This window comes from Homo sapiens, chromosome 7, assembly GCF_000001405.40.
Source record: "Homo sapiens chromosome 7, GRCh38.p14 Primary Assembly".
Taxonomy (NCBI): Eukaryota; Metazoa; Chordata; class Mammalia; order Primates; family Hominidae; genus Homo; species Homo sapiens.
In genome coordinates, this window is record NC_000007.14 from 27,522,943 (window position 1) to 27,536,590 (window position 13,648).

Below are 13,648 nucleotides of genomic sequence, written 5' to 3' on the forward strand. Positions count from 1 at the left end.
TTTTGTTTTCATTTCCAGAAAGCATTTAATATTAAGCTAGATGGTTTATGACAACTTCATAGATGAGAAAATGAATGGTCAGTAGAGGGTGGCTTGTACAGGGTCACACTCAGAGGTAATTCCTTTCCAGCACAAATATTTTGTTCGTGTTGAAAACTGTATAATTGATTACAATTCTATTCTATCCTTCACGTAAGATGCTGACGGGCTGAAATGTGATCTGATCTGTTTTTGCTGGTTCCTTTAATTTGCAGAGATTTGGCCACAGTTAAACCCCTTCCCTCTCAACTACTCGAAAGGCAGCATTTAGCAAGTAGCCTCTCTGTTGTGCCATTACTTCCCCTCGTTACTGGATCATTCCACTTCCATCCGTATAATCCCATAACATTTCCTATTTTAAAAATATAATAAAACTCCTCCTGGTCCCTTATTTGCTGCCAATGTCTATCCCATTTGTCTGTTTTCCTCTGCAGCAAAGCTCTTCAAGAATTCTCTATACTTACTGTTTCCAATTCCTCTCCCACTCTCAATCCAACTCTCATTTCCAAGACTCCACCAAAACTCTTGAAAAAGTCACCAGTGATAGCTCTTTTGCCAAATCCAAATGATTCTCAGCCCTATTACTCAACTCACAGATCATCATTCCCTCCTTAAAATACTGTTTTCATTTGGCTCCTGGGACACTGCTCCCATGTTTTTCCCCTACTTTACTGATCTCTCTGCTTCAGTCTCATTTGCTTGTCCCCCCTCATTTTCCTAACCACTAAAGTTACAGTAACACAGGGCTCAGTCCTTGGACTGTTGTTCTTCTTTACTTAGATGTCTATTAAGGCATCTCATATAAATCTCTGATTTTTTTCTCCTAAACTTCCTACAATCCTCCCCAAATCTTCCCCCCATGATCTTCCCCATATAGGAAATGGCAACTTCTTTCTTCTGCTTTCTCAGGCCACTGACAGTGGGATTATCCCTGACTCCCTACTTTCTCTCTCATGCCATCCATCAGTTAGTGGCTCTGTTTTCTAGGTTCAGAATCTAACCACTTCTTGCCTCCTCCATCATTTTAACATTCTGGTCCCAGCTACCACCTCTCAACTGGGTTATTACTATTGCCTCCGAATTGGTCTCCTTGTTTCCAGCCTTGCTCCTACAGACTCTTCTCCACACAGCATCCAGAGTGATCCCTTTAAAAAAGTAGGTCAGATCACATCAATCTGGTGAAAAAGTTTCACAGGCTGCTTGTGATAGGCTGTTTGCAAAAAGGCCACCATAATGCCCCTCTTTGTGTCCACACTCTTATGCAGACCCCACATATGCTGATTCTGGGCTTGGCTATGACATTTGCTGTGGCCAAGGGGAAAGTACAAACATGAAGCAAGCAGAGGCTTAGAAAGTCAGGGCTTGTCCTATGCTGCTGCTGGGATGCTTCCACCACTATGTGAACAAATTCATACCAGCCTCCTGGAGAATGCATGAAAACATGGAGAGAAGCCCCAACCATTCCAGCTGTCCCAGCTGAGTAAAGCCAAACTAGACACTCTAGCTGCAGATGAGCTGGTCTAGGCCAGAATAATAATATGGCCAACCCACAGAATCTTGAAAAACAATACATGTTTGTTGTTTTAAGCCACTAAATTTTGGGGTGATTTGTTATCCAGCAAAAGCTAACTGATACATTGCCCATTTTGCTCAGAATAAAAGCCAGTGTCCTAACATACCCTGCAAGGCCCCATATGATCTGGCCACCCTCATTCTGTGCCACTTCACTTATAGCCTCCCTGTTATTCCTCATATTCAGTACTGTCCTACCTCAGGGCCTTGGTACTTTCTGTCCCCTTTGCCTGGAATGTTTGTTCCTCAGATACCTGCATTGCTTACTCCCTTACCTCTGCTCAATTGACACCTTATTGGGGAGAACTTTCCTTATCACCCTAAGAAAATACCCCTGGCACTCCCTATCCATCCCCGTTATCCTGCTTTTTCTTTTTAGTTCTTCTTATCTGAAAAATACATATTTCTTGTCTGTCACAAACACATGAGACACCAGAACTTATGCTCTGCAAGGGCAGAAATCTTGTGTCTTGTTCATCACTGTATCCCCAGCACTTATAACAGTGCCTGGAATTTTTTATCACCAGTAAAATGATGAAAGTAGTAATACTTCTGCCAAATTTGGTGTCTAGGTCTATTACCTGGAATGTTTCTAGAGGCTGAGGTGGGAAAAGTGGTGACTGTGCTCCATATTGGGGCATGTTACACTTAATGCTGGCTGAATTCCTAGAGAACTGATGACCTAAAAAACATTCAAACGAATACTCAATAAGGATTCAGGTAAAGCAGCAAAACACTAGCTTGCCACTGGCCAACTCAGAGCTTTGTTCCTTTTGACCTCCCCTCCTTTCTCTTTATTCCCATCCTTTCCCCATTAGTGTGAACATCAGTTTGTCAGAACATTAGTTCACCAAATGATGGGGAAGAAACAAAAACACCAAGAAAGTATTACCAGTATAGAAATTTATTTGAATTCAAAATAATATGGCTATATTTATAATAATATAATAATTATCTAAAGCAAATATCATCATTGGCTCTGAAATGCATCTAAAGATGTCATTCTTAAGTCAAAAAATACGTAGTAAGAATGAACAAGAAAGAAAAAAATATAAAAACAAGTCTGCTGAGTGTCGGGAGTTGGTGAGGGATATCCTACCATATTGTGACGGAGTCCAAATAGAAAACATGCAGCAACAGTTCTCCTGCTTTATCAGCTCCCTGGAAAATAAACCAGTAACCCTGGTAGTGCAGTAACCATTTGGTTAACAGGACAAACTTCCTGATGGACACAGATAGTAATTCACTGCATTTCCCTTCTCTAACTTCTCTCTTCACACCAATTCCTTTTCTTTCCTTTAAGATGGGTTTCATCCTGTTGACAAAAGATTTGGTTTTATTTGTAAAGTAAAGCAGATAATATCCTGATTGAAGTATTCAATGATTTAGTTGAGGATGCTTGGGGATCAAACTTTGTAAAAAGGTCAATTAAGCTAGTTAGCAGAGACTATCAGTGGCTTGCAGAAAAAAAATTCGGATAATATGTTTGTTAAAAAGACAAAAAGAATAAGCGGTGAAAAATCCTAGGGATTACTGTGACCTAGACAATCAAAAGCAGATAGGTGACCTTTGATTAAATCCATTTACTTGTGGAGTGAGCTAAAAGGAGGCTCCAAGACAGAGTTTGGTTCCCAACAGTGTCCGTGGCCAAAGGGCACACTCAGAAGGTCTCCTCCTCTCGTAGGAACTGGAACACGGATGAGAAGTCTTTCTTTGAGTAGCCCTTTGCACACATCATCCTGTAGATCTGATGGGCCAGACTGCCAAGAAGGATTGGGCTCTTTGTGCTGGTAGCAGAGTCTTGTGCCAATCCCAGATCCTAAATCAAACAGGAGGAGAGAACACGCTGAGACTGGTGGTAAAGGCTCTTTGGAACTGTGGTTCCTTATGTTTTGGTTTGAAAGAAGGAAAAATGTAATCTGAAAAAATAAGATACTTATAAATACTATGGTAAGTTAACATTTTTAAATAAGCGCTTTCATATAACTGCAAAATTGCTCCAGACAGAAACCTTGATTTCTGAGTGTCTCTTCGATTTTTCCACCTTCCACAATACCTGTTTGTTTTGTTCCACAGATTTGAAGAAAAAAAATTTCCCTGTGTAATCTTATCTGTGGAAATCTTTAAGACATAAATTTTTTTTAAAAAATTCTTAAATGAAAACAAGGAGAAATAAAACTGCAAAACAGGAAATACAGTTGCAAATATTACTTCATCCAATAAATATTTGAAGTGTGCTGACAATGTGCCAGAAGCTGGGATAAAATGATGAGCAAAACAGCCACAGCCCACCCAAACTCACATTGTGTTAAGGAGAAAGACAATTAAATAAGCATGGTATAATTGGATAGGAGGAGTACTATCATGGGATCCAAGGAAGCAGGGTCTGGGGTGCTGGGAAAGGTGAAGAAAAAGAAGACAGTGAAGCACAGACCTGGAGCCAGGTGAAAACATGGGGGTGGCAGGGAGGTGGTGGGCAAGGAAGAATGATCCATCCTGGCAGACAATGTGACAGCAAATGTGAAGCAAATGTGAAGGTTTCCAAGAGACAGAACAAGAGGGAGAAGTGAGTTCAGCACGATGAAAGCAAGGAGAGGGGGATGGGAAAGAAAATCAGTCTGGTTGAGGCAAGCAAAAGCCAAGGCATCTGGGGGCTTGTCAGACAAGTTGCAGGGATGGACTTTAATCTCCAAGTAACTGAAACTACAAAAGCTTCAAAGGAGAAGTGACACAATCAGGATTTTACATTTTAGAAAGCTCACTCTTGCTTTGATATGGAAAATAAACTGGAGAAGATCAGGCTGAAAGACAAGATCAGTTAAGATGTATTTGTGGTACAACACAAACGAGGCTCAGCCAAGGTACAGCTAGCTGGGGAGGAGGGAGCTGGATGAATTCAAGGCATATTCAAGAAGCAGAATGAACAAACGTCATGGGGAATGAGGGAGAGTAAGCCAAGTATGGGCACATCTTGTCTTAGTGTGCTTCACTTTATCATGCTTCACAGATAATGCATGTTTGTTTTTGTATTTTAATAATTGAAGGTTTGTGGCAATCCTGCATTGAGCAAGTCTATCAGCACTGTTTTTCCAACAGCATGTGCCCAGTTCATGCAGCTGTCACATTTTGGTAATTCTCACAATATTTCAAACTTTTTCATTACTATTATTTCTGTTACGGTGATCTGCAATCAATCAGTAACTTTTTTTTTTTTGAGACGGAGTTTCTCTCTTGTTGCCCAGGCTGGAGTGTAGTGGCGCAATCTTGGCTCACAGCAACCTCTGCCTCCTGGGTTCAAGTGATTCTCCTCCCGCAGCCTCCTGAGCAGCTGGGATTACAGGCATTTGCCACCACCACACCCAGCGTTTTTTTTTTTTTTTTTTTTTTTTAGTAGAGACAGGGTTTCACCATGTTGGCCAGGCTGGTTTCAAACTCCTAACTTCAGGTGATACACCTGCCTCGGCCTCCCAAAGTGCTGGGATTACAGGCATGAGCCACTGTGCCCAGCCGATCAGTGATCTTTGATGTTACTATTGAAACTGTTTTGGGGTGTCAGAAAGCGCACATAAGATGGCAAACATAATCGATAAATGTGGTACACATGTGTTCTGACTGCCCAGCCACTGAATGGCAGCTCTCTCTCTCTTACCCCTCAGGCCTCCCTATTCCCTGAGACACAAAATATTGAAATTAGGCCAATTAATAACCCTACAATGGCCTCTTAAGTGTTCAAATGAAAAGAGGAGTCAGCTGTCTCACACTTTAAATCAAAAGCTAGAAATGATTAAGCTTAGTGAGGAAGGCATGTAGAAAATCAAGACAGGCTGAAAGGCAGGCCCATTAAAACAAACAGTAGAATGCAAAGAAAAAATTCTTGAAGAAAATTACAAATGCTATTCCAGTGAACACATGAATGATAAGTGAAACGGCCTTACTGCTGATAGGGAGTAAGTTTGAGTGGTCTGGATAGATCAAACCAGCCAAAACATTCCCTTAAACCAAAGCTTAACCCAGAACAAGGCCCTAACTTTCTTCAATTCTGTGAAGGCTGAGAGAGGTGAGGAAGCTGCAGAAGACGTGTGAAGCTAGTAGTGATTAGTTCATGAGGTTTAAGCAAAGAAGCCATCTCCATAACATAAAAGTGGAAGGTGAAGCAGCAACTGCTGATGGAGAAACTGCAGGAAGTTAGTTATCCAGAAGATCCAGCTATCACTGATGAGGGTAGCCACACTAAACAACAGATTTTCAGTGTAGATGAAACAGCCTGCTGTTGGAAGATATCATCTAGGACTTTCGCAGCTAAAGAGAAGTCAATGTCTGTTTCCAAAGCATCAAAGGACAGGCTAACCCTCTTGTTAAGGGCCAGTGCAGCTGGGGACTTGAAGTTGAAGCCAATGCTCATTTACCATTCCAAAAATCCTAGGGCCCTTAAGAATTATGCTGAATCTACTCTGCCTGTGCTCTCCAAATGGAACAGCAAAGTCTAGAAGAAAGCACATCTGTTTATGGGATGGTTTACTGAATATTTATTTTAAGCCCACTGTTGAGACCTACTGGTCAGAAGAAAAGATTCCTTTCAAAATACGACTGCTCACTGACAGTACACGTGGTCACCCAAGAGTGCTGATGGAGATGTACAGGGAGATTAATGTTGTTTTCATGTCTATGAACACAACATCCATTCTGTAGCCCATGGATCAAAGAGTCATTTTTCAACTCTTATGTGAGAAGTATTTCATAAGGCAATAGCTACCATATATAGTGATTCCTCTGACAGCTCTGGGCAGAGTAAACTGAAACCTTATGAAAATAATTCACCATTCTAGATGCCATTAAGAATATTTGTGATTCATGGGAGGAGGTCAAAATATCAACATTAACAGGAGTTTGAAAGAAGCTGATTCCAATGCTCATGGATAACTTTGAGGCCTTTAAGACTTCAATGGAGAAAGTCACTGCAGACGTGGTGGAAATAGGAGAACTAGAATTAGAAGTGGAGCCTGCAGATGTGACTGAATTACTACAATCTTGTGCTAAACTTGAAGGGATGAGGAGTTGCTTCTTATGGATGAGCAAAGAAAGTGGTTTCTTGAGATGGATCTACTCCTGGTGAAATGACAGAAAGGATTTAGAATATTACACAAACTTAGTTGATAAAGTAGCATCAGGGTTTGAGAGGATTGCCTCCGTTTTTGAAAGAAGTTCTACTGTGGGTAAAATGCTATCAAACAGTAGCACATAAATCTTCTGTGAAAGGATGAGTAAATCAATGCAGTAAACTTAAACTTCATTACTGTCCTATTTTAAGAAATTGTCATAGCCACCCAACCTTCAGCAACCGCCACCCTGGTCAATCACCATTCATCAACCTCAAGGCAAGACCTTCCACCAGCAAAAAAGGACTATATGACTCACTGAAGGCTCAGATAATTGTTAGCTTTTTTAGCAATAGAGCATTTTAAAATTAAGATACGTATATTGTTTAGACATAATGCTAATGCACACTTAATAGACTATGGCATAGTATAAACGTAATTTTTATATGTACTGGGAAACCAAAAAATTTGTGTGACTTGTTGTGGTTGTCTGGAACTGAACCCACAATATCTCCAAGGTATGCTTGTGTGGTATCTAGGTATATGTATTCTTTTTCTTTTTTTTTTTCTATTTGAGACGAAGTCTCACTCTGTTGCCCAGGCTGGAGTGCAATGGTGCTATCTCAGCTGACTGCCATCTCCACCTCCCGGGTTCAAGCGATTCTCCTGCCTCAGCCTCCTGAGTAGCTGGGCTTACAGACACGCACCACCACGCCCGACTAATTTTTTTTATTTTTAGTAGAAACTGGGTTTCACCATGTTAGCCAGGCTGGTCTCGAACTCCTGACCTCAGGTGATCTGCCCTCCTCGGCCTCCCAAAATGCTGGGATTAAAGGCATGAGCTATCGCGCCTGGCCGTATTCTTACTTTTTAATCAGGAAAAACAAACAAACAAACAAACAAACAAAAACCAACCCTCAACTGGGAGAAAATAAGCACTGCAGAAATCTGAAAGTTAGCTGGTCTAAAAATTATTTTCTGTAGTTGAGAACATAGACTTTCTAAAGTTGAGATCTCAAATAAGAGAAGGATGACAGTTTGCTTTTCCAATGACTTAACTAGTTTTTATATATAAATCCATATATTAAAATCTTAAAGCAGGAAGATGTATTTGGAAATCTATTATCAATGGGAAAATCCTCTCTTCGTGATGCATATATGCACTGCCAGTGTATTATTAACAATGAGAAAATTCTCACTGTTCTCATTTAAGAAGTTGGTAAATTAACATAAATTAATGGTGAACGAAATTTTACCGGCTCATATAAATAAACCCAAGTGCGCACACACACACACACGCACACACATACACACACACACATGGTCTGGCCCATTCTTCTCAACCAAAAGGCCAGGAATAAAAATGAACAAGATAAGGATTTTCATCTAAGTTAGGTTTTTACTCATTTTCAGTGAGAGTGAATATTCTAGTAATTTTGCCTCTTACCTGAGACATATGCTTTATTAAGAGAAAGAGAAGGAAGGTGTTATTGGACCGTGAAACGTTTTTCCTTCTCTCTTGGGTGTCTACATTTACCATACCTTAGCCATGAGTGTTGTTCCAAATCCACCCTGATAGTTATTAGCCGAGGGAACGCCATCCATCACTCCAGGTACAGGATTATAAGTGTCACTTGACCAACACCGTCCTGAGCTCATATTTAGGATTTTAGCCAGTAGTTTTGGGTCAAGCCCTAACCTGTCAAAGGTCAAAGAAAAGAAGTGTTAAGTGTCAAAATGTACACGTCGTGCGTGACTTATTTATGTATGGGGATGCTCCATCTTCTCTCTCCATTTATTATATGTCTTCTAAAATCTAAGCAGGTTGATACGAGAGTGAAGAATCCAATTTTGAATTATAGAGTACTAAACACTACTGGTTAAATAAGAATATTTTTGAGCCAGGACCATTTTGCATTTGGAGAAAACCTTCTATGTTATCCTATTATTAAGAAAAAATAATATACAATTGCATAAAAATATTGTTGGTTTATCACACTCATGGGTTTTCTAGTCTTTGGACATTACTACATTTATATGTCACATAAGAACCTTAAAACAATATGATAATTTAAATTCTACATTCTTTACCCACAAATGATATATTTCAGAAAGAAATACTGACAGATAAACGATGCATCATGGGAGTCTGTGTGAATGCATTTATATGTATGTTTATTCCTTTAGTTTTTATGAGAATAAATGCAAGAGATGAGCCAGGAGCTGTAAACGAGCTTAAGAAAAGTTATTATAAAAGAAGACTTTTTGCTGCAAACTTTTCCTTATTTATTAAATCTTTATTAGACAATCTTGCTTATGAAGCAAGTCTGCACAGAGTTGTGACATATGCTATCTATTCAGAGACATGCATTATAGTTCTGGGTCAACTGCTGATAAGGTTACTGATCCTGATAAAACAAAGCTTGCCCAAGCAGAAACATCATTTGTTCTATCACTGGGCTGATGGCATAAACGGCTGTTCAATGTGGACCCTAGAAAAAATAATAGAATCAAAATGCTCCATTACTTGGATTCTAAAGATATAATGCAGTTTGGGAAGCACAATTTTGCTAGGTATCACTGAATCAAGTTTCAAATAAAACTTTATTCCTAGCAATTTATTTGGTTTCTTTCATACACAGAGCCATTATGAAACAATTGTCATAAAAGCTTTCCACTTTTTCTTAAAACCAACCTCTTCCAGAAAATAAAAAAAACACTGAAAAGAGACACTTATGTAAATGTTAAACAAACTGTGCATCTTGGCACGCTCAGATTGTTTACTCTGTGTGTCTAAAACACATGCCTGTTTATTTCAAAATCTGAATATCATGGCCAATAAAACATTTTTTCAGATGCTAGAGCAGGGGGCTGAGGCTAACAGCCAAAAATATGTATGGAATTACCACATAATACAACTGTTATGTAATCAGGCTTTCAAGGGGTAGCTGTGGTTCCCAGACTGCTATGTGGCATATCATGTATCTGAATTCATATGGTGGCCCATGTTATAGTGATGGATTTTACTAAGGATTGTAACAGATACAGAAATTCAGTCTAAATTGGCTATCATTCATTCTGTTCAACTGTAGATTCCCAGAGAGAAACCCAACAGTTTCATTCATTCTTTTATAAAGATCCAAGTTCACTGCATGCATAGTATGCTACTGATGCTTGCTTTCTCCTTTTAAATAAGATTAGGCTATCAGTATGCTACTGTAGTATATCACTTAGGAAAAGATAAAGCCAGTGTGCTTAGGGAATAATTGTGAAAAGTAAAATCACAATTAACAATTAGTTAATTTGCTATAACTGCAAAGTACCAAATGTTCAAGAATGCATACATCTAATATGCTCCATAAGGAGAAAATACTTTTAAAGACTCCAAAACGTCACTTTCTCTCTCCATTTGAAATATAATTTCAGGGCTTCCTAACTTAGATCTTTTAAGATGGTTCATCATATTTAAAGCAGCAGAATTCCTTCCTTCTTTCTAATCTACCAGGTTACACTCAGTAGTAGCTCACAAGAGCTTTTACAGCTAAGGAAATTCACTCTTTTCTATAATATTCAACAAAATGGTGAGCAAAGCTAATTATCCTAACTTTGTAAAACCCTACATTTTTCTTGAATGTTCAAGGAAAAGTACTGGTATTGATTGATGGAAACCCTTTCTGGTGAACACATTACTATTTAGAAGCATCCTGAGGGGCACACACAAAAAATCAGGTGGCAGTTGTTTCATTCTCACTTTTCAAATCTGATGCTTCCCCACCGTGCTGATTCCCTTCAGGAGATAGTTATTCCCTCTCCACTTCCCTCCCCCTGCCCCCACCCGCAGCAAAGTGTATCATTAAAAAGAGCAAGTTAGAAGTGTTTTGCATTTCATCTTTCTGAGGATTCGTTCTCTGGCACATACATAACTGACAGTTAAAATTAGACATGATATTAAAATCAGTTACTGAAGTCCTCTGTTTTCCACTGTGCCCAAGGCTTGTAATGGTCTGAAACCAGCTAGAATACACAGTAATTGTCATTCAGAGTCTATCCTAGAACGTCATGCTTCACTGGAGAAGACTGAGTTTCCATTCGAAATCAACAAATTAATCCAAGACAGGTATCTGAAAGGGCAAGTTTAATAGGAAGCAGCTACTGGGCTCTCAACCATGATAAAATGTTATTGCTGTTTCCCTGTAAATTGGCTGGGAACATATGATACTTTCTGCATAAGAGCCCCATTGCTGTTCAGAAGATATACAGCTCAAGCCATCAAAAGAATGACAGTCTGTCAGTCCCCATAATAACTTGCCACTGGATGTGGTTCGAGAGTGCATGCGTGCATGCATGTGGCTTTACAATTGCTGGAATGTTCTCTGATATAAACAGAATGAATTCATCGCTCTGACTGCATATATAATGCGTCTCAAATAAACGTCACTGTGTCAAATCTACTCACCTCTAAAACAAGAATTTTAAATGAGGTTTGGAAGAAGTAAAAATAATGCATAAACTGCAAAAAAATTTAAAAAATTAAACATTTGCCTTCACTGTAACCAAGACTTTAAGGGCCAAAAATGTTTGTTTATATTATCTGTGAGTAATCTATACTGTCTGGTTTCACGTAAGAACGAAATAAATTATGTCACTAAACTGGGATGTTTGTATCACAGGAACAGATCTGGAAATGAAACATCTAAGACCATGTCAGTTTTAATTAATCAATCACTTATCCATCAATGTTTACTCAGATCTGCTATATCCAAGTGCTACACGTGCAGCGAAGGAGACAGTAAGAAGGAAGCTAAGAGGAGGCTGTGCCTGTCTGCCAGGAGGGCTGAGTTAAGACCCACCTGGATAACTTTTACCTTTGGCAAGAGAAGTGCCATATCTTATCCCCTCACTCACTCACTCCCCTACCTCCTCCCTCCTCTCCTTATTTATCTGACAAATCTTCACTGGGTGCCTAATACCTGCCAGGTATATTCTTAAGATATGGCAATGAGTAAACAAACCATTTCCCATCATGGAGCTTCTAGATGGGAAGACAGGTAATAAACAGACAAATAAATATGTAATGCCAGCTAGTGAGACATGTTAGGAAGAAAAAGATTAAAGTACAATTTAATTTCAAACAATAACCACCTCACCACAACCACAAATATCATTACCACATATCGACACCTACTATGTGCCAGAAACTATTTAATAAGTTTTATATGGATTAACTCACTTAATCTTCACAACAACCCAGTGGATAGATGTAATCACTTTTGTCATTTTATAAATGAGAAAAGCTTAAGTCTGTGGGACAGCTTGAATGCAGACCTACATGTATGCCCAAATGCCATCGTACTGGCTAGTAGTTGACTATTAAGTAGGTGGTAAACTTAATAGTCAACAACTAGCCAGTACGATGGCATTTTATGAGTTTATTAAGAAATTTGTATGATGGATAAGTGAATGATTTGGATTGACATGGTCTTAGATGTTTCATTTCCAGATCTGTTCCTGTGACACAAACATCCCAGTTTAGTGACATAATTTGTTTTGTTCTTATGTAAAACCAGACAGTATAGATACATACAAAGAACAAGCTTTTTGGCCATTTACAAATTACAAACCTTTGCCATCTGTTATATTTATTAGGGTAAACAACTAAGGCTCCAGTCATCACATAAATGCAAAAGCAACATCTTCTAAGGGCAGTATGCAAGAAACTATTAATAAAACTACATTGGAGGGAAAGTTCTCATCTTGAACAGCTTTCCAGAAGTTCAGCTGCTTCAAGCTTCTTTTGGCGGAAGACAATACAGTGGTTGCTGGAGGAGCCTGGGCCTGGTTGGCAATGCAAGTAACTTGTTATACCACCAAAAATTTTTTTTTAAAATCAATTTCCAGTGGAGCTGGTAATTTAAAACAACAAAACATCATCAATGTTATTTCTATGTGATACACAGGAACAAAACCTCTCTAATACAAGTAGGGTACTTTCAGGACCATAAAACTATGCTTCTAATGCCTATGTAGGAATCCAATTAGAAAGCAGAAAGGTCTAATAAAAAAGGAATCTCAAAATATATTGTATACCATATTTTTTACTCTTTACTTTTTTTTTTTAACAACATTTAAAAATTTTGCTAACATCCATAAAGACTCACTGTAAAAGAGCATAGGGTCAATAAGAATTTTAAACTGTAAGATTTTATTCTTCAATTTTTTTAAAAAAGGGGAACAGTGTTCCAGAAAAACCACTGACTTAGAATAAAATTAATCAGAAATGATCACTTCACAGGAATGGGTGACTCAATTTGTAAATGTTGACATTAATACTCTGAAAAAATTTCACTTCAGAGTGGGCAGAATATAAATGTGGCTACACCATTTTGATGCTATACTACTTTGCGGGAATTTACTACTTGGGAATTTATGCTTGCTGATGCCAATTTTCTCTTTCACCTTGCAAAGCTCAATAAATCGTGGCCGTTCTCTATACTCTATTAGAGAACAATCCTGTCACTTTAAACCATGTCTGTAAACCGTGAAGAAAAGACAATAGCAGAAGCATTCATTTTTAGGGTCTTTAAACCACTGAGAATCTTCGTAAGATAAAGTGATAAAATCCTCATGTTATGAAAATAAGCAATTCATTGGTATAATCTGAAACACTAGAAACTTATAAATTATTTTTAACAGTTAAGTATAACTAGTGAGTTTCTGCCTTGTGTTCAGACTTTTAGAATATATTTTATGTTATATATATCAGTATATATGTAGAGTTTTAGAAAAATGAAAGATTTAAAAGTTTCATATTTCTAAATAACAATTTTGTCATAGTTGATCAGAGCCAAAAATAAGGGAAACTCTATTAATTGCTTCTGCTCTCTTACATCTCTATTTTTTATCACTTTTCATTTTCTCCTTGAAAACAAACCCACTACAAG

At 38.4% G+C, this 13,648-nt stretch overlaps 1 protein-coding gene across 4 annotated transcripts in view, besides 1 other annotated feature; it reads right to left on the reverse strand.

Annotated features, from left to right (window-relative positions):
• Positions 1 to 2,499: 2,499 nt before the first annotated feature.
• HIBADH (3-hydroxyisobutyrate dehydrogenase) overlaps positions 2,500 to 13,648 on the reverse strand; it is a 137,442-nt gene continuing 126,293 nt past the window's right edge. For all 4 annotated transcript variants that reach the window (NM_001430749.1, NM_152740.4, XM_047419834.1 and 1 more), the window contains 2 exons: positions 8,250 to 8,406; positions 2,500 to 3,430 (listed from right to left, as the gene is read on the reverse strand). In NM_001430749.1, the coding sequence (NP_001417678.1) occupies positions 3,272 to 3,430; positions 8,250 to 8,406 (316 nt within the window). In that variant the 3' untranslated portion in view covers positions 2,500 to 3,271. The remainder of the gene's footprint in view (positions 3,431 to 8,249; positions 8,407 to 13,648) is intronic.
• Positions 4,066 to 4,643: an enhancer, noted in NCBI's record as "NANOG hESC enhancer chr7:27566627-27567204 (GRCh37/hg19 assembly coordinates)". NCBI's record gives its function as "activates a minimal SCP1, AML or CMV promoter by ChIP-STARR-seq in naive H9 embryonic stem cells {active_cell/tissue: H9 hESC(naive)}" and the evidence as "EXISTENCE:reporter gene assay evidence [ECO:0000049][PMID:30033119]".